This window comes from Homo sapiens, chromosome 1 (assembly GCF_000001405.40).
Source record: "Homo sapiens chromosome 1, GRCh38.p14 Primary Assembly".
Classification (NCBI taxonomy): Eukaryota; Metazoa; Chordata; class Mammalia; order Primates; family Hominidae; genus Homo; species Homo sapiens.
Window position 1 is genome coordinate 53,250,218 of NC_000001.11, and position 20,678 is coordinate 53,270,895.

The window sequence follows — 20,678 nt, forward strand, 5'->3', positions numbered from 1 at the left end:
ACATAACTGGCATACAGTATTGAAATGAATACATTTGAATTAAATGGCCACAGTTACCCTTCCAGGCTAAAGGTTCTGAAAATTTACTGAGCAGAAAGAGAGACATTTGGCTTTTTTTACTGCCAGGAAGAGCCTCTAGGTACAAGGTGGTCCTGATACCTTTTTACCTTAACCACCTACCCCAGCATTTCTGTGTTCCCCAGGGCCTAGAACAGTGCCTGATACATGGTGCGTTTTTGATAAATGTTTGAGGAAGGAAAGAAGGAGGAAGGGAAGGAGGGAGGAAAGGAAGGAAAGAAGGAAAGAAAAAAGACAGGGAGGGAGGGAAGGACGGAAGGAAAGGAGGGAGGGAAGGACGGAAGGAAGGAAGGGAGGGAAGAAAGGATGGGAAGGAAGAAAGGATGGGAGGGGAAGAAAGGATGGAAGGGAAGATGGTCGGAAGGTAGGAATTCTCCCAGTGAGAAATACTTACTGCAGGATAGACATGGCCAATCTGAGCAGTTCTCCCTATATGGAGCTCATCTTCGTCTTCTTCTTCTGTTGTTTTCCTGTAGACTGGGTTGTCAAAATTCATGCTTTTGGTGTTCTTCCGCTTCCAGTTTCTCCAGATCAGGTATCCACTCATGCACAGGAGGGCTATCACCACTGGAGGAAGGACACAGGACACTGGACCTCCAGCAGGCTCCAACCCACTGCTCAGACATCTGTACAAGGCTTGTCACCACTCCACTTTTACTACCCTTTGCTCCTCAGGCTCTGTTTCTGCATGTTCTTTTACTGCTGTTTGAAAGCCCATCTCTCATCCCTTCTTTCCTTTACTAACTATTCATCCTTCAAGATCCTGTTCAAATGTGAAGTCTTCCCCAACTGTGGGCAGAGTCAGTTGCTCTCTCATGTGTGCTCCCAGATCACACACAGTATCTTACTTTATGTATCTGTACTCCCAACTAGATAGCTCTTTCAAGGCAGGGACTGTGTCTTTTTTTTGTTTTTAAACTCTCTACGCCCAGTTCCTAGCACTGACTAGGTGCCTAGTAACATGTGCTGAATGAATGAGTGAATTTTACCACACCTTTGCCCTAATGCTGCTGCTTCCCTAGATTTCTCTAAGAAAACGATTCTCTCCCAAAACTGGGGGGTGGAGAGTGGGATGGGGCCAGGCAGAGTGTTTATTTCCAAAGGTGAGGCTCCACCTGAAGAAGAACATCTCTAGAAGGAGACACAGAGGGCAACACAAGCTCTGATTTAGAATAAATGACTATGTTAATGATTAAAGGAGGAAGCTCTCTCCAACACAGCTGGGTAAAAATGGAGCAAGTAGCTTTGTAAGGTGATTAGCAGTCACTCTGAGCATCCCAGTGGAGGCTGAATGATCACCTATCTAGGATGCTATGGAAGGGGTTTCTGTTTTAGTAAGATTACAATAATTGATAAGCATTAAAGACAGGAACAAGGCAGTTATCATTGCTAATATTTATTGTCTTAGAGATCTAGCTATGCAGTAAGGCCAGAAAAAAATTTAAGGGTATAAATATGGGAAAGGAGCCCAGGTGCGGTGGCTCACGCCTGTAATCCCAACACTGTGGGAGGCTGAGGCAGGCAGATTACTTGAGGCCAGGAGTTCGAGACCAGCCTGGCCAACATGGCGAAAACCCATCTCTACAAAAAATACAAAGTAGTTGGGCATGGTGGCGGGCACCTGTAGTCCCAGCTACTCAGAAGGCTGAGGTGGGAGGATTGCTTGAGCCTGGGAGGTCAAGGCTGCAGTGAGCCACAATCATGCCACTGCACTCCAGCCTGGGCAACAGAGTGAGACCTTGTCTCAAAAAAAAAAAAAAAAAAGTAAATAAATAAATACATATGAGAAAGGAGGAAACCAAACTGTTATTAACAGCTATTTGTATTTTTAGAAACTCTTAAGAGAAGCTGGTGAAAAACTATCAGAAATAATTTTAGTTAATCAAGAATCAACATAAAAGATCATTAGCCGTCTTTTTAATCAGCAACAACCAATTAGAAAATTTAACGGAGGCCAGGCACAGTGGCTCACATATGTAATACCAACATTTTGGGAGGCTGAGGCAGGAGGATTGCTTGAACCCTGGAGTTCAAGACCAGCCCGGGCAAGATGGTGAGCCCTGGTCTTTACAAAAAAATTAATTTAAAAAATTAGCCAGGTGTGGTGGTGCATGCCTGTAGTCCCAGCTACTCGGGATGCTGAGGCAGGAGAATCCCTTGAGCCCAGGAGTTCGAGGATGCAGTGAACTGTGATCGCACCACTGCACTCCAGCCTGGGCAAGAGTGCAAGATCTTCTTGTCTCTTAAAAAGAAAAAGAAAAAGAAAAAGTAATGGAATAAAAATACATTCGTAATAGCCCATCAAAAGCTATAAAATACCTAGGAAAACCTAAGAAGAAATACGCAAGTCCTGTGTAATCTATAAAATTCTGCTGAGGGACGTAAAAGAAGACTGAAATAAATAGGCCACATTTCTGGATGGGAAGCTTTAATATAATAAAAAGGTATATTCTCCTCACATAAACTCATATATCTAAAACAATCTTGATAAAAACTTCACCAAAATTTTTATAGAATTGATAAGATTATTCTGAAGTTCACCTAGAAGAGAAACTGAATAAAAATAGCTGAGAAGATGTTGTGAGCATAACATATCATGAAGTTGTGCTAATAGTATGTAGGAATATATAAATCAGTGAAGGAAAATAAACTGCTTAGACGCAAATCAAAGTACGTATGGGAGGTAGTTTATAATAAAGATGACGTGCAAGTCAGGAGAGAAGTATGGATTATTCAATGATGGTTTTGGGGAAACTAGACAGGTATATAGAGAAAAAAACAGTTAAATCTCTACCTCATACGATACTCTAAAATTTAAATTCCAAATAGATTAATATCCTAATACTAAAAAAAAGTTTAAAGTAGAAAAGAAAAACATCAGGAGATATTTTAATAAGTTAGAGTGAGGCTGGCCTTCTTAAGCAAGACACAAAACCCAGAAATCTTAAAAGATTGACAAATCTGATACTTAAAAGTTTCATATTTATGCATGGCAAAAGATACCATAAACAAACTTTAAAACCAAATGTCAGACTGGAAGAAAATATTTGTAACATATATTTTAAAGGTTTAATATTTGTCATGTATAAATATTTCTATAAATAAGAAAAAGATAGCCAATAGAAAAATAAGAAAAGACTGTGAGTGGGCGATTCATAACAGATAAAATATAAGTAAAGGGGCTGATAAGCTTACGAAAATATACTCTACCTCACAGGGAAATGTCAGGGAAATAATACTCATCTTTCACTCCTCAGATTAGCAGAAATTAAAAATATTGAATATTTCAGAGTGAGTTATGTCAGCAAAACAGCATATATCTGCCTCTTTCTATAGGGCAAAGGATGGCAAGAAAGGGGTAGATTTATCTTTCTCCACTCCAATCAAAATAATCCTGGAATAATCACCTCACCATCATCTTTCCTGGTGAAGCCTTTCAAGGCCAATTCAAATGCTGTCTTCTCCAGAAGCGCCACTTTTACTCTGGAATTACCTTTCCTTCTACCATCCCTTCACAAGAGTATCATGCCACTATTACATTGTTCCTCTGTCTCTATCTATATCCAACATGCCCCTATCATAGCACATAATGACATGTATTAACATCTACCTTAAAGGACTTTATTTTTGCCTGATTAAAGACTGAAAGCTCTTAAAGTCTTTATTTTTTTCTTCCCTGGATCCTTGGCACTTGGCACAGTCAGTGTCTTACACAGGGGAGAAGTTTTTAAAACATTTGCTGACTAACTCGGCATACTGAAGATTCCCAGGATAAAAGGACAAAGTTCCTGTCCTTGAAGTACTCATAGCCAAGTAAGGGAGATAAAGCTCTGAATGGACAATCAGAATGCAAAGATACTGCTACGAGATGAGACTGCTAAGAGAGGGGTGTACAGGATACCGTGTGGTCATCAGGGTGGAAGAGAATGAATCAGCCCCCATGATTCTCTGTGAGGTCTTAACAAAGTGTTATACTCTGGCCATACTGATCTCCTTCTAGCTCTAAACCCACCCCACCCTGACCCTTCCAGGCCATTTCCTACTCCTGGCTTTACTCATGCTGTCTTCACTGCTTGGACTGTTCTTGATCCTCCCTCACTTGGCTGACCCAGCTCAAATATCACTTCTGTTAGGAAACCTCCTCTTCCCTCTTCCCCCTCCCCCAGCCCAAGTTAAGTGTTTCCTCAGCACTGTCTCTGAAGTCAGTGCATGCAGCTTAACCTTAGGACCTACCAGGTCGTAATGAACTTATCTGTGTTATGTGGGTCTCTCTAACAAGACTATAAACTTTTGTAGGACAGAACCATGTCTTATTCATCTTTAACTGCCTTTCCTCCCCTTATCAGAGTTTGGCACATAGTAGCTGCTTAATAAATACTTGTTGAAAACCAAACAGAAAGAAAACAAGACAGTATGACCTATTAAAGGAATGGTAAGCAGCTCTATTCATTAATTCAACAAATCCTTGATATCCTACCATGTGCTAGACATTGCCAGGAGCTGGGGAGAATGGTGAGCAAGAGATACCAGCCCTGTTCCTAGGGATCATACAGTCGCACTTCACATAGCTGGAGTGTAGAGTGTGAATCGAGGGGTGGGGAGATGGGGGATGTACCTGGAAGGTCACCTGGGGCCAGGTCCTGAAGAGCCTTGTGTGCTAGGCTAAAAAACCAAATTAAATCAGGACTGGGAGGTGGGCAGGAAGGCTGCAAGGGCAGAACAAGTCAATAGGGCAGGCCAAGTTCTCTACCCTGCTAGCGCTCTTCCCTAGGCCTAAGCAGGGTCTCTCTTTTCTCTTCAGTGACTGGGGGCCACACTCACCTATGGGCACGATGATCCCGATAACAGCGGCAGTGACTGTTGAGCCCATCTTACTGTCTTCATTTGCATCTGCAAAACACAAACATTTGCAGAATGATGCTCTATCACTGTGTGTCCAAGCCCCTACTGGCCTCAAGTGGTAAGAACTACCCAACTGCTGCTCATCCTCATTCTAAAATGATGATCCTGGCTGTTGCCTAATAATTCAGTCTTTCCAGATCCTATCACAACTCCTGTGAGGCAAGCAGGACAGAGGTTATCTCCATTTTACAGGCAAGGAAACTGAGTCTTAACTGAGGGGTTTCAGAAAAGTGGCAGAGCTGGGACTTGAACCCAGGACTCATGTCCCAAGTCCCATACCCTTTCCATAGCATCATGGTAGTAGGAAGCTGGGGGCTGTGCATGGCAAAGTGAGCACTTAGGTCTTTATGTTGCTGATGGACTAGGTCATTTGCCTTTTTCCATCAGTATCTGTTGCTTTGCCAGTATTGTTTTTTGTGAACTGTCTGTCCATCTGCATTATCAGATTATTTTTCATAAGTAATTGAAATGGGACATAGTATAGTGTAGAGGAATCAAAAGCGCAGACTTCTGTGTCAGACTTCTGGGTTCAAGTCCCAGCTCTACTACTCACTACCCATGTGACCTTGGGCAAATTATTATATATTATAAATACAGCACATGGTATTATACTTTTATATCTTTAAAATGGTGATATTACCTACCTCCTAGGGATATGGTAAGGATTAAATGAAATAATTTATCTAAAATGAATATAAAATGCTTGGCACAACTTTGCCTAGTTCTAAGAGGGTGGAGAGTGGGATGGGGTTGTTGAATAGGGTCTAAATTTTAAAAAGATATGTAAAAGCACATTTTAAACTGAAAAGTGCTTGGAAAATTTACTGTCTTTTTGAAAAACTATGCCATGCCATCTTTCTCACTCTTATAACCATCTTCATTGTAACATTTGTGAAGCACTTTATAGTTCAGAAAGCATTTTTCCCTTAGATCCTCCTGACAGCTCCCTGTGGTGTGAAAAGGAGCTATCATCTACACTTGCTGCAGGTGAGATGACTGTCCCGGCAATGGCCCAAGGCCCATCCTCTCTCAATGTGACTGTTTATCCATGTTACTCCAAGAGAATCTAACAGTTAAGGGGAGAAAAAGCTGCACTGCTTGCTTCCAGAGCTAACTGTGTCCTCCCTGCTGTCCTCCCTGCTCTGGGCCACAGCGAACACTGGACAGTGATATTAAAACCTAGAGCATGAGGAAGCCAGTGAGGAGAAGCTGGTGAGAGGCTCTGCCCTCAGATGAGAGGAACTGGAATTCACACATGCTCCATCTGCCTCTGCAAACTTCGGAGTAAGTGCTCCACTCCAAAAAGCCAGCTTCTGCTGGCAAATAGGACCAGTTAGGAAGATGTTGCCAAGCAGCTTGGTTTCTGGGCTGTCCATGTAGGGGAAAAAATTAAAAAGATAGTTTATCCTTTTAAATGAACTCCCTCTGGCAGGTAACTCAATTAAAAAGGTATTTGCTGATTAATGAGATAGAACATTTCTAGCAGTGACAATTACTGCTCCCAATGATTTAATAAGTGGTGAACTTAATTATTTTCATCCCAGGGTTGGAAAGAGGTATAAGGAGACCATGGTTGTAGATATTACTATCTGGGGACCTGCTGTGAACTGAGATCAGAGCTTTCCAAACACAAGGGACACCTCCTCATATACACATCAGAACTTTGTGAAACATAGACACACACACCCTCGCAGAGTCAGCAACGGCTGTGTGCGTGAGCACCTCCAGTTATACCGGTTACACCTTTGTCTATCATGGCAATCTTGTGAAGCAGGTTGTGGAAGGGTGGTTATTTCCACTTTGTAAGAGAAGCAACTGAGGCTCACAGGGTCTCAGCTTCCTACAAGACCCTCTGTAAGGTAGGGGCACCTATGAGTCCTAAATCGCAGGCTGGTACTCTACCTCCCTCTCAGATATGCAGTAACCTCCTCAAAGATATGCAGTATTCAGCTCTGGTAGGTTCTGTCTTATCACATACCCCCTTCCTGGCTTCCCTAGGAGCCCTCCCATGTCATGAAAGAATGCAGAACTCATTTCCTTACAGTGCTGGGAGTGGTTGCTGGTTGCAGGGCTTAGGGTAGACGGGCTGATGCTGGGAGCCCTGGGGACACTAACTGAGCTTGGGACTGCAGCTGTCAGGCTTGGTGTCTCTGTGCTGTGGTTCTGGTAGGTGGATCTGTGGACGGTGGTCCCGGGGGCTCTTGTGGTGGCAGGTACTGTCCTCGTCATGGTAGAAGCTAACGTCGTAGTTGAGGTAGATTGAGGTGCTGGAGGGGAAATACCATGGAGGTCACTTGGACAGATAATTTTGTTGCCTAAGGTATTGCCTCTGAGATATACTTAGGAACTTATCTTCATGGCGTAGCTCAAATGCCACTTCTGTGAAGCCTTTCCTAATCTCCCCAGTGGGCTATGATCTTTTCTTTAGCTGAATGCTAAGCACTTCACTTTGATTCAATAAAGATGAGTCATTAAAACATTGCTGTGGAATTAGTTGTAAGATCAGCAATAAAAAGACTGTAGGGAGGGGAAATCAGATAAATCTAGAAGGATTTTACACTCATATATTGTTATACCAATAGATTGAAATTCTTATTCCACTTTAAACAATTGAACCTGTAAATCATTAATAATGCAGTAGACTTAGGCTCAAATGAAAGGCCTTGGCTATACATCAAGATTAGGACATGAATCTGTGTATGCGGTTGAAGTATTAACTATTAGTCCCAATTATATTGCAAAAGGGCTGCTGTGTAGTGTTTGTTAAGTTCTAGGTGAGAAACAGGCAAATATATAGTTATCTGCATGTACCTGAAGCCACGGCGATTAAGGGTTCTTAACTTGAGGTTTTTAAAGCGTTCCAGAAACTCCCTGAAACTGAATTTAAAATGTTTTATGTATATGTGCATTTTTTCCTTGGGAGTGAGAAAAAGCTTTGGAAGGATCCTGGGGGCATGAGCATTCAAGGAAGGTAAAAAAGAGAAACCCCCAAAAGGCAACAAGTAACCAGGGAAGATGGAAGAAAACCAGCAGCATACTGTGTCCCAGAAGCCAAGGGAAGATTTCAGCAGGGTAGGGTCTGACACTGCCAGGGGCCATCCCTCCTGGAAGGTCTGCTTACCTCGGTAGCACCTCTTCATGTCTGGACCCAGCCACATTGTGTCAGGACAGGCACATGTGTACTTGGGAGAGTGGCTGGAGATCTGAGGAGCAGGAAGGCACAGGTATTCACAGCCTCCATTAGGCTGGACACTCAGCTCACAGGCATCTGGAGCTAATGGCAGAGAGGGAGACAGCTGGGGCACAGACAGGACATGCCAGGTCTTCCTGCCTCCTGAGGATGAGGCTTCTCCCACCTGGCTTGCTCAAAAAGCTTGCCCTATACTTTTTTTTTCACATTTTTTTTCTTTTTCTTTCTTTTTTTATCCCCCAAAGCTTTTGGGATACACGTTTTTTGTTACATGGATGAATTATATAGTGGTGAATTCTGGTACTTTAGCGCACCTGTAACCCAAGTGTAGTGTACATTGTACCTAATGTGTAATTTTTTTTTTTTTAAATCTCTAGCCCCGCTATTACCTTCTCCATTTTTAGTCTCTAAAGTCCATTATATGCCCCTGTGTACTCATAGCTTAGCTATACTCTGTATGCCCCTGTGTACTCATAGCTTAGCTCCTGCTTATAAGTGAGAGCATATAGTTTTTGGTTTTCCACTACTATCATACTTTACTTAGAATAATGGCTTCCAGCTCCATCCAAGTTGCTGCAAAATACATTATTTTGTTCCTTTTTATGGCTGAGTAGTATTCCAAGGTGTATATATGCCACACTTTCTTTATTCACTCATTAGTTGATGGACACTTAGGTTGGTTCCACATCTCTGCAATTGTGAAGCCCTTCTACTTTTTCAATTTTTTTTATGTTTTATGTTTTGAGACAGGGTCTCACTCTGTTGCCTAGACTAAGTGCAGCAGTGCAATCATAGCTCACTGCAGCCTCAAACTCCTGGGCTTAAGAAATCCTCCCACCTCGGCCTCCCGAGTAGCTGGAACTATAGGCGCATGCCACCATACAAGGGTCATTTTTATAGTTTTTGTAGTGATAGAGTCTTGCCTTCTTGCCCAGGCTGGTCCCAAACTCCTGGGCTCAAGTGATCCTCCTGCGTTGGCCTCCCAAAGTGCTGGAATTGCAGGTATAAGCCACCATGCCTGGCCTCCCTACTACTTTTATTGGGTACTTTCCAGCACCATACCTAGTGTTTTATCCCTACACTCTCATTTAATCCTTGCAACAATTCTGAGAGGTGGGGACGTTACATCCCAGACTGACAAATAAAGACACCTAGGCTCAAAGAGAACAAATTCGTCAAACCTATACTCTAGGAATTTTTTTTTTTTTTAAGAGGTAGGGGTCTTGCTCTGTCGCCCAGGCTGGAGTGCAGTAATGCAATCATAGCCCACTGCTGCCTGGAGCTCCTGTGCTCAAGGGATCCTCCTGCCTCAGCCTCTCAGTGTTGGGATTACAGGCATGAGCCACCATGTCTGGACTAGAGATAGAACTTAAATTGAGGTCGGCTGGGCTCCAAAGCCCATAAGCCCGCGGTTTTTATTTTTCCCTGTGCCACATACTATGTCTCTCATTTAAATTTCTAGGTCTAGAATCAGGCACCAATCTTAGCTCCTTACACTCCCTTGCTCTCCCTCTTTCACCCTGGCAGCCAACACTTCAGTTACAGTTAGAATTAATGTATCCTAGTGATAGAGGAGGGGACAACCTAGTAGTAGGATTCCTAGATTCTATTCCCAACCAATAAGCTGACTTATTATATGGCCCTCGGATACATTAGCTTATACTACTGCAGAATGGCTACAAATAGCAAGTTAGATGCAGTGTGTCATGGTGAAAGCAGCTGTGGAACCAGATAGACCTGGGTTTAGGTTTCAGTTCTGCCACCTGCTAACATTATTTTACCTCTCTGAGCTTCCGTTTCCTCAACTGTTAGAAGAGTAATACCCACACTTTGTAGGATTGGCAAAAACAGGACAGTTATGTATTCATTTATACCCAGCCTTATTTCACAAAGAACTTGAGGTAAAATGAGACAAAATATATGATGAAAAAGTACTCTACCAACAAGAGGGATTGTTGTTATTATTCCTGGGGTTGCTGAGTTGTGACCTGAATGTGAACACAGCCTGCCTGGTGAAAGGAGAGGACACAGTGACACAGTCAGGGGACCTGGGACCTAGGACCAGAGACAGCTCACCTCTTGGCTGCTTCAGCTCATGGAAGATGACAATGTCATGTGGGTTGTTGAGGTTCTCAGCCAGGATGGAGATTTCCAGGCCATTGAGCCGATTTGCACTGAAAATGGCCTCGTTCTCCAGGTCTGTCCAGAACACCTTGTCCTGTGGGGTATAGATGCAGAGGATGGGAGGCCTGGAGTGTAAATCCATGACCTCAGTCTGAGGGGTTGGCCCCAAACCATAGTCACAAGAACTTCCCTGAAATCTCCCCTGATCTGTCCTGTCTATGGATTCACGGTGGGGCTCTCAGCCTCTAATCTGTGATGCACGTCTCCTTGTTCCCTTCTATCTTAGAGGATTATTCAGTGATTCTGTGCTTTGAACTGACAGCCACAACATTACTCATTCATGCTGAACTAAGCCTGCTTGCTAGAGCCCAGCAGAAACCCAAGGTTAAATCTCTATAGCATTATCATTACTGGGGCCTGGGACCAAGATTGGAAGGAATGTGTGAGCTATGAGGGTTATGCCTTGCTGGGCTTCCTGTAGCCTCTGGGTATCCACACGAGTCCACATGGTTAGTCCATATAAGCCTAGATGTGCATCTGTCAGCAAATCCACACGTACAGGTACAACTGTGCATCCTCATACACAGATCTAAACACATACCCAAATGTTCATCCACACACAAAAAGCTACATTTGCCCCTAAATATGCAGTCTATATACATCTTGGTATATGTATGTACACACATAAGCACCAGCACTTAGAGGAATGCACACTTTTATTCTGATGCATTTATATTTACCCATGCACATACACATACTTTACATGTACATGCCATGTATATAAACAAGCACAAACACTTGTGTACCAACACACCTGTCCTTTAAAGCAGGGGCTGGACTTAGAGGTGGAGCTTTGCCCACAACTTCAGAGCAGTGCTGAGTAACTTTGCTGCAAGCAAATCCTGCCAATGCCCACCACAGACCATCATCCCTTTGCTTTCCCTCCCCTTGGTGGTGGAGTTAGTTTTCGGGAAGAGGTGAAGGTGTGAGACCTTGGTTGGTTCTGGCTTCTTCATTCCCGGAGAAGAAAAGTCATTAGGGTCAGGGCACAGGAGGGTCTTCGCTCCTCACTTTGCTGGGAGCTTCTTGAGACTAGGATAGTGTCTGATTCACTTCTATGACCCCAGGGTCTGGCAGAGGTCAATAAAAGTGTGCAGAATTGAACAGCATCTCTCAGGCCATTTCCTCCAGTAAATGATTCTAAGGATATGTATGTTCCTTCTTCCTTTCCTCCCTTTACTGGGTGCCTTTTGTATATGGGTTACAGTGCTGGGTGCTGAGGGCACAGAGAGGAAACATACATGCCTAGCAGCTCACCTGTGAGAAGTGCTCTGGGAGAGGGGTCTTGGGAAGAGAGCGTGGGAAAGGCTGCCAGGTGGAGAGTGGGCTGCAGAGCCTTTGTGTGCAGGCAGCTCACAGATTGTTTACAAACAAATCAGTTGGTTTCCCTGTTCCTGTTTTCATTTGAACAAGTCTCAGGGACTCATCCTATTTGAACAAGCATTTTCTAGGCTTCAGCTTCCTAGTGGGCCCTTGCCTCTCCTTACAGGACTCACCTCAAACACAGCTATCCCAAAAGGGTGGCTCAGGAAGTCAGTGGAGGAGATCAGCGTCTTTCTGTTGCCTCCACTGAAGTCAATGCTGGACAGTTGGTGTAGCTTGGAGTCTACCCAGTACAAGCGCTGGCTCAGCAGATCTTGGGAAGGAAGCAGGATCAGGTCATGAACCTGGGACCCCAGTCTGGAGCTCTGTTCCTTTGTACCTCTCCCTGCCCACATTTCTAGGCCTCACACTGAGGCCAGCCTACGGCAACCATTAGGAAACAAAGTCACTGGCACCATGAGAGGACCCAGAAACAAGACTCATGGAGTTCCAGACAGTGATCAGGACAAGGCACTAGAATAGGCCCCCAACCCAGGAAAGGCAGGGCTCACCCAGGGTGATTCCGTTGGGCCATTCAATATTGTCTGACACCAGTGTTTGCCGGTCCACACCGTTGAGCCCAGATTTCTCAATCTTGGCCTGGTCCCCCCAGTCAGACCAATACATGAACCTAAAAGACAAAATAACCCAATTTGCCTTCTTGCTGGGGACATGACCGGGGTGGTCTGAGTCACAAGAGCTCAATAACCCATTGACTAGTTGTGGTTTATGTTTAGTAGGGACTGAGAAGACCTCTAAAGTTCTTTTGAACCATCAAATCTTAGATTTAGCAGGCACTTTAGCCTTCACCTCATTTGAGAACTTGAGGAAAACTATTCTCCGAGATTGCACCCAGACTCAGCTGAATAGCCTGTGACCCCATCTCTCCCACTTCTGGCAGTGCTAACTAACTAGAGCCCTAGGGTGTCAGTGTGGGGAAGGCCCTAGTAAGCCCTCTCTTTTCTGGTTTCAGAGGAGAAAGTGGATGAGCTTCCTAACTCAGGTAACCCTCCCTGCTTTTGTCTCCTCAGGCCTACTAGGGCCAGTAGCAGCCCACTGTTACTAATCCAAGGTAGTAAATTAGACCTAACCCACTCCTTTGTAAATAGTCCCTTTATTAAACCCTCCTCTGATTATCTTGAGTATGCAGTGGGTTTCCTCCTGGGACCCTGACGATCCGCAGTGGATTGGGGTTGGGCTGGGTGTAACTCTATGATGTGAGGGACAGGATGTGGCAGGTGCAACACAAGGTCTGCATGAGAACAGACAGAGAACAGGGATGAAGTGAGGGTAAGAGGAGAGGCTCCGTATCTGTCAGAGTGCCTAGTTCTGTGCTGGAAGCACCTGACCCATGCTTAGTGAATGGCAGCTATCAGTCACTTCCCAAGGCCTCACATAACCTCCCATGTGGTACTCCCCTCACCAGCTGCCCTTGCTCGAAGAAGAGGGTTTTCTTATCCCTGTTTAACAAGGAAATAGCAGTAGGAAGCAGCTGTTGATTCTGTTAAACTTAACATGATATAACGCTAAAAAAACCATCTCAAGATATCCACACTGAGGGAGAGAGGGAGTCCTGTTCTGTTCAGAATCCCTAACTCCCAAAACTGAGGGGTGGCCAGAGCAGGGCAACCTAGGTGGTGAGGGCCCAGAGACCATAGGCAACAGGGGTAGGGATGGAGGCAGGCAGTCTGAAGCAGAACAGACCAGTGATCTTGGTCCTCAAATCTTGCTGGCTCTCTCACAGGGCAGGGAATAGACATGTTTTATGTAACTCCAGAGGCCAATGGAGGAAGTTGCAGGGAGATAGATTTGGCATTATGAGGGGAAAAGACCCACTTTCTAATGAGCAGAGCTGCCCCACGGTGAAACAGGCCCTATGGGAGGTAATGAGCTACCTGTCTTTGGAAGTATGTGAGCAGCTGTCAGATGCTCACCTACAGCAGCCTGAAGAAAGGCTTCCTCCCCCAGGAGCTTCTATCAGGCCATCTCTAGAGCCCTACTCTGCTCTGAGACACTCCAATTCTACGATATAACGAGTGGGTGGGAGAGTCCAGGGAGAACTTTGGTGACCAATGCCCAGAGAACCTTGGTTGGGGATTAACAAGACTTTCTTCCCCATGGCCTGTGTCTGAGTGGCCCAGAGCTTTCTAGAACCCTCAAGATAGCCCTTGTGACAGACACAAGAGGACTGAGCACCTATGGTGGGAGAATGGGAAGTTCAGTTGGGACACTCACCCTCGCAGGGGGTCAACAGCGATGGCCCGGGGTTCACTGAGGTTACGGCTGAAGAGAGTGCGTCGGCGGCCACCATCAACTGTGGCCACTGAGATGGTCTTATTGCCCGAGTCAGTCCAGTAGATGTGCTTGTGGACCCAGTCCACTGCCAGGCCCTCTGGAGAGTGCAACTGCTCGTCAATGAGGACCTCCTGCTCTTTCGGGTCACTGGCCTTGTCCATGTAGGCGCTTAAGAGAAAACAGAGATGACCATGGGGCAGATGTTCCACCCATGGGCCCATCTGGAGCTACCTGTGCACCCTTCCCCTCTCTTCCATCTGGGCCATGGCAATAGATTTTTAGAGGAACGTGGATAATTTCCACTCTACACATTCCCTGGGGTACCAGGGTAGGGGTACAGACTTACATGGGCCACGGTCTCTGGCTTTCTAAGGTGGGGCTGCTCCACAGCTCTGCCCATTAGGGTGAGCCAGATATAATACAATGTGATTATGGAAAGCATTAGAGGCTATGGCAGCAGAGGCATGGAGACTGCCTCATCCGAGAGGGCGGGAGAAGGCTTTATAGTTGAGTCCTGAAGGACGAGTTCACCAGGAGCATGAAGTCACCAGGACAGAAAGCCATTAGGGAACAAGAAAGGCTTGTGCAAATGGCCAGAGGTGAGTCTGCTCTGGAACAGTGAGATACTTAGGGGAGCTGCTTATGTGGGTGTCAGACTGCAAGCAGGTGTAGGCAGGAACCCCATCTTGATGGGCTTTGAGTACCACGCCAAGGAATTAGGATTTCTCCCCAGTGATAACTAGACAGGCCAGAGGATATAGTCCAATAAGCATGTTAGTTCACTGTGGCATCTATGGAGTGGATGGGTTGGAAGGAGAGGGAATGAAGCAGGGAAACTGGTTAGGAGGACGTTACAGCATCTGGGTGGGAGATTAAGAGAGTCTGAAGAATGACCGTGCCAGTGAGAATGGAAAGAAGGGCTAAGAATACAGTAGACACTCAGGAGGCAACATTAGCAAAATAGCAAATGCTGTTTCCCCAGAGGTTTTCTTCTTCTTGCCCTCTCTCTGGGTGATTAGTTCCTTAGTGTCCACTGCCATCAATAACTAAGTCTCCAATCCCAACAGCTCTCTTACGATCCAGACTGCAAAGCTAACTAGCTCCCCTTGGATGTCCCATGGACACCTTGAACTCAATATGTCCAAAACTGTTCATCCCCATTCCCTTCCCCTCGGCCAACCAGACGGCCCAAACCCTGAGCCCTGATCCTCCTCTACTGCTTCACACATCAGAGAACAGCACCACCATTCATGAAACCTCCCAAGCCAAAAACCTGAAACTCCCAAAATTCACTATGAAGGAGTAAATTTCTTCCATCAGCCCCATATCTAGTCTGTCACCAAATCCTGCCTCTTTCAGTTACATCTCTTGGACAGGCATTGTTCTAGTTATGTTTTTGGGTGTGTGTGAACGGAGTGTCTGTATGTTGCAGGGAGGCAGGAATCTAGTTGTCAGTGAGTAGCACTTGCTATATTTGCTTCCATCCACTCTTCCACCCATCTGTCCCATCATTCTTTCATCAGTGACTCAGTGTCTACCCAGCGCCTGGTCATCGGCATTCCTGCCAAGTGGATCTCAGGACAAAGAAAGGACATGACTGCCTGAAGAGGGCCCAGACATGCAGTGGGGCAGGTGCTGGCATCTGAGAAAGTCCTAGGAGAGAACCTCCTCCAGTGTGTGAAGAGCTTCCCAAGCACCAGGTCCACTGACTGTGGCGTCAAAGACAGTGAAAAGCTGGCCTTGGGGTGATGCCATCCAGGAAGGCATGCCAGATCAGATGCCCAGGTGGGTTCGGAGGCCTCCTCTGTACTTTCTCATGATCATCACAAATGGATGTCACTGTGTTGTGAGTGGGATCCTCTGGGCAGGGACCAGGTCTAAGTCCCCAGGTTCCAACACACAGGGATGTGAGCTGCTTGGAAAGTCCTCCCCAAAGCCAGGATTTCTTCCTTTCTGCCCTGGCCAAACAGTTCCTGTGTCTTGTGCTTCCATATTAGGCCTCCAGAGGTCAGACAAATCCCAGGTGTTTGGGGCTCAAAGCTGCTAACCCAAGGGAGCCCTCAGACTACTCCAGCCCCAGTAAAGTCCCAGAAGTTCCATATCCACTGTGATCCTGCATCTCTTCCCAAGTCCCAACTCTGTCCTGAGGAGCTCTAGAGGCAGACACCACTCCTCCCCTCCTCACCTGTCACCACCCCTCACCCCCACTCTTCATGCCTTGCTGCAGAGGATATGGCCGCTCACCTATAGATCTTACGGTAGGAGAGGTCACACCAGTAGATGCGATTGGTGGCAACTTCCACATCTAGTGCCACGACATTCTTGAGCATGGGGATGAGGCGTGAATAGTTCCGCTTCACCAGGTCGATCCTCCGCACCTCGTGCCGGTTGGTGAAGATTAGGGATGGGCTCTTGCCAGCTGTCATGCAGGGAGGTTGAAAGAGAAAGAGTCAGTGCAAGAGGCAGGGAGCCTGGAGACCAAGACTCTGCCACTGGCTTGCTGGCTGACACATCCATTTTCCTTAAAATAGTAGTGACAATTCCTACTTTACAGGTTGCAGGAGCAGATGAAATAATGAGTACAGAAAGCAGAAGATGCAGAGCACCACGCATAGCAGGAAGATTCTTATTCTTTTTATTAGATACAAACTTCTCCAAAATCTTTTATGGCTCCCCATTTTCTCCTTAGGCCTGCACTGAAAGCCTTCCACAGTGTGACCCCAAGTTCCCTGTCCAGCCTCATTACTCGCCTCTCCAACATAGCTTGATTCCACCTACCAGATACCATTACCTAGCCATGGATGGGCTTCCTGCCTCAGAGCCTTTGCTCAGGTTGTCCCTTCCACCTACTATGTATTTCTTTCCAGCAACTATCATCTTCTCTGCTTGGGCCCTACTGCTGTGGTTCAAGAAGGAACTACCTGAGCAAGTAAGTGTCTTAGAAAGATAACTAGGGGCCAGGCACAGTGGCTCACACCTGTAATCCCAGCACTTTAGGAGGCTGAGGCTGGCACATCGCTTGAGGCCAGGAGTTTGAGACTAGCCTGGGTAATATGGCAAAATCCCATCTCTAAAAATAAAAATAAAAAAAAAATTAGCTGGGCATGGTGGCACATGCCTGTAGTCCCAGCTACTCAGGAGGCTGAAGTGGGAGAATCATTTGAGCCCGGGAGGTTAAGGCTGCAGTGAGCCATGATTGTGCCACTGCACTCCAGCCTGAGTGACAGAGACTCTGTCTCAAAGGAAAAAAAAAAAGATGATTCAGGATAGAAAGTATTGGGGACATAGCAAGAGATGAGCTTCAGAGATTGGCAGGGGCCAGATCACAAAAGGTCCTATGAGCTGGGTGAGTTTGTTCTCTATCCTGAGCCAATGGCAGAGATGGGACATATATGATATACAACACAGATTATATATATGCAGTAGAGACAACATAAACTGCTCATGTATACACAAAACCTGTATTTTTCTTAGATTTAGGGTTAGATTTTAAGATGATAAATAAGTGACCTAGACTTTCCTGGCTACTCCATATGGGAGGACACTGTCCCATGGGCCTCTGAGGGCCTAGCACCAGCTCCCACAGGCTGTTTCTAGATGTATTGGGCCACTCTCAGGCACCAACACTGTCTGAGGGGCTGCTCCTAGTAACACCTGCCCCTCAAGCTCCCTGTGCCTCCTTCTCTTGTTTTCCAGCTGACACTTCTGCCAGCCACCAGTCCCTGTCACTGTGCATCTTTGCCAAGCTAATGTGCTCCCTGGAGGATGGGACCAGCACAGAGTCAGGTAGGGCCTGGGGCTGGGTGTGTGACCTGTGTGTAGTGATGGAGACTAATTCAAAGCAGGGTGGGAGTGAGACAGAAGTGTGGTACAAATAGCATGGAGAATGGGCTCAAGGTGCAGGAAGGGGCAAGGATGAAAGCTGAGTTACAGGCCAGCTCTGCCACTGACAAGCTGTGATTTCCCTCACCCCAAAATGACAGTAATGACACTTCACCTCCCTGAAGGCAGGAGCCAGGTTAAAGGGGCATGTTGGAGTGATCTTAAATGACAGCTGTGACTGTGACAGGAACCCCCTGTGTTTATGATTTGAGATTTTATGTAACTGCACTTGAAATATTCATGTGTGTGGATTTTGTATATGCATGGGTAGTTGCATGTTGTCTCCAGTGCATGTACATAATCTGTGTCATGTATTACATGTGTTCTATATGGGGGCAAGAACAGGTTACACGTTATATGTGATATACTAATGTATGAGTTACATATTGTACAGTTTGGGTGTTACAGTTTTTGGGTTTATGGGCTACATGTCAGTATTATGGCTGCTGTATTGTTATAATTTATCTGTTGTATATTGTATTTAACTTGCATATGAACTCCAGACTCATATATCCAGCTGCCTTCTCAATATCTCTACTTGGATACCTAACCAGTTTTCTTAAACATAACATGTCCAAAACAGCCTAAGATTCCTCCAAACCTGCTTCCCTCACCATCTTTCCCAAGCCCATACGTAGCAATCTTATTTTTTCAGTTGCTGTAACTTTTTTTTCCACATTCCACATTCAATTCATAAGCAAATCCTGTTGGCTGGCCTTTGCACTATATCTGCAGTCTGTCCACTTTTCATTATTCCCACAGTAATAATGTGGGAATAAGGGTTCAGCCACCATCACCTCGCTTCTGGATTATTGCAATGACCTCTTAAGTGGTTTCCCTGCCTTCTCCCTTGTCCTCTACAGTCTGTTCTCAATACTGCAGTCAGAATAAAATGTCACACCATGTCCCTTCCCTACTCAGAGCCCTCAATGGTTTCCCCCCAGTTAGAGTGAAATCCAGAGCTGGCTCTTACAATGGTCTAGAAGGCCCTTTGGGCTGCCCCAAGCCACCTCTCTGGCTTCATCTCTTCCTAGTTTCCTTGCTCCAACTGTACCAGCTTCCTTGCTATTCCTTGAACATACTAGGCATGCTCCTGCATTAGGGCTTTTGCGGTTTCTGTCTCTTCAGCCTGAAATGCTTGTTCCTATAGATAATTGCATGGTAGCTTACTGTCTCACCTCCCTCACTCCCTTTTTATTTATTATTATTATTATTTTTTTTTTTAGAAAAGGTCTCACTCTGTCACCCAGGCTGGAGTGCAGTGGCATCATAACTCACTGTGACCTCAAACTCCCAGGCTCAAGGGATCTTCCTGCCTCAGTCTCCTGAGTAGCTTGGGACTATAGGTGCATGGTACTATACCTGGCTAGTTTTTAAATTTTTTTTTAGATATAGGGTCTTACTACATTGCCCAGACTAGTCTTGAACTCCTGGCCTCAAGTGATCTTCCTGCCTAGGCCTCCCAAAGTGTTGGGATTACAAGCGTGAGCCACCACACCCACCCCCCTTCACCTTCTTTACTCAAATACCTTCTCAGTGAGGGCTTCCCTGACCATTCCATTTAAAACTAGAACCCCCTGCTCACCTGGACTTCCCTATTCCCATTCTCTACTTTCTATTTTTCCTTAGCCCTTATCGCCATCTGCCATGCACTATATTTTATGTATTTATCTGATTTCTAGCCTGGCTCACCCATTAGAATATGAGTCCCTTGAGGGCAGACAGGGATTTGCATCTGTTTTGCTTACTGCTGAATCCCCAGTGTCTACTACAATGTTAGGTGTTCAATATAAACAACTGAATACAATGAATTAATTCTGCTGGCTGAATTGATCAATGTGTAGGTCTGCCCAGGTCGTGCTCTTTGTGTGGACTCCATATGCTGTGTGTGTAGTCTCTGTGTGGTTCATATTCTGTTGTATGAGTGTCATCTCTGTGGGCTATATTGGGTGGCTCTATACAGTGTCTGTGTGGGTGTTAGTGTGCAGTGCGTTGTGTGTGTGATGTGTATGTACACTTTTGAGCACTGTGTGTGCAACTGCTAGAGTAGGCAGACAGCTGGACATGAGCAGAAGGGGGAGTCCCTGAGAAAAGGGAAGTCTAGAAAATCTCACACCTAGAGACCACCCAAAACATTCATGCTAGATATGAGCAGAGAGGAGGGGAAATGCCTCTGCAGAAAGGAATGCCCCTTAAGATGCCCAGAAACTGCTCACTCTGCAGTTCTCCCATCAGAATGTAGCTAGCTGCATGTTGAGGAGGAGGGGAAGGGCAAAGGGGAAATCCCTAAGAAATATGCAGGCCCAATCAGATTTGACTGCTATACAACCTTCCTAGGGTGGTGGTAACGAGTGATGGCACCATTAGGTAGTATTTGTGCCCAGAGCTGGGCATGCACACAAGCTAATAGTAAGGGGAGGTCCCACAAGCCTGGGTGGGAACTAGGTGAGGAACAGGCAGGGACTTAAAGCAGGAATGGGAAAACTAGACAAAGAAAATGGCAGAGATTTAGGACAGAGACAGGAACTTCAAGAAAAAAACCCAATGCAGAACTCTTAGGGCTGCCGCTGGTTCATTCTCTTTTAGCAGGCTGCCCCCACTCTGCGTCACCTTTCAGAGTGCACTGTCCCTTTAAAGAAACACAGCTATTGCTGCTGCTCCCAGCTGGGTCAGCCTGCTCCTGTCTTAGATTGTACTCTTATCTCCTTAATAAACCTTCGGCTTATGTTACTAATTGTCTCTTGGCTGAATTCTTTCTCCCAAGCTAGACAAGGGACCGAGGATT

At 45.7% G+C, this 20,678-nt stretch overlaps 1 protein-coding gene and 1 long non-coding RNA gene across 7 annotated transcripts in view, besides 2 other annotated features; one reads left to right on the top strand and one right to left on the bottom strand.

Annotated features, from left to right (window-relative positions):
• Window positions 1-20,678, bottom strand: part of LRP8 (LDL receptor related protein 8) — an 85,707-nt gene that overhangs the window by 7,854 nt on the left and 57,175 nt on the right. For 3 of the 4 annotated variants that reach the window (NM_033300.4, NM_001018054.3, NM_004631.5), the window contains 9 exons: window positions 16,256-16,430; window positions 13,952-14,179; window positions 12,229-12,347; window positions 11,851-11,990; window positions 10,247-10,388; window positions 8,102-8,254; window positions 7,023-7,247; window positions 4,900-4,968; window positions 473-645 (listed from right to left, as the gene is read on the bottom strand). In NM_033300.4, coding sequence (NP_150643.2) covers window positions 473-645; window positions 4,900-4,968; window positions 7,023-7,247; window positions 8,102-8,254; window positions 10,247-10,388; window positions 11,851-11,990; window positions 12,229-12,347; window positions 13,952-14,179; window positions 16,256-16,430 — 1,424 coding nt within the window. The remainder of the gene's footprint in view (window positions 1-472; window positions 646-4,899; window positions 4,969-7,022; window positions 7,248-8,101; window positions 8,255-10,246; window positions 10,389-11,850; window positions 11,991-12,228; window positions 12,348-13,951; window positions 14,180-16,255; window positions 16,431-20,678) is intronic. The other variant, NM_017522.5, reaches the window with a different exon arrangement.
• Window positions 675-20,623, top strand: LOC105378728 (uncharacterized). Of its 3 annotated transcripts, XR_947355.3 has the most exons (6): window positions 675-4,510; window positions 4,880-5,038; window positions 5,911-6,264; window positions 15,535-15,796; window positions 16,879-16,940; window positions 17,708-20,623. It is a non-coding gene; the product is annotated as an uncharacterized LOC105378728 (long non-coding RNA). The 3 variants fall into 3 exon arrangements; XR_007066091.1 differs by lacking the exon at window positions 16,879-16,940; XR_947358.3 differs by lacking the exons at window positions 675-4,510; window positions 16,879-16,940; window positions 17,708-20,623 and having other exon boundaries at window positions 4,957-5,038; window positions 5,911-5,967; window positions 6,134-6,264; window positions 15,535-15,662.
• Window positions 3,567-3,670: a silencer, noted in NCBI's record as "fragment chr1:53719456-53719559 (GRCh37/hg19 assembly coordinates)". NCBI's record gives its function as "represses an EF-1alpha promoter that drives an FKBP-Casp9 reporter gene in an ReSE screen in phorbol 12-myristate 13-acetate-treated (for megakaryocytic differentiation) K562 erythroleukemia cells {active_cell/tissue: K562(+PMA)}" and the evidence as "EXISTENCE:reporter gene assay evidence [ECO:0000049][PMID:32094911]".
• Window positions 3,860-4,077: a silencer, noted in NCBI's record as "fragment chr1:53719749-53719966 (GRCh37/hg19 assembly coordinates)". NCBI's record gives its function as "represses an EF-1alpha promoter that drives an FKBP-Casp9 reporter gene in an ReSE screen in K562 erythroleukemia cells {active_cell/tissue: K562}" and the evidence as "EXISTENCE:reporter gene assay evidence [ECO:0000049][PMID:32094911]".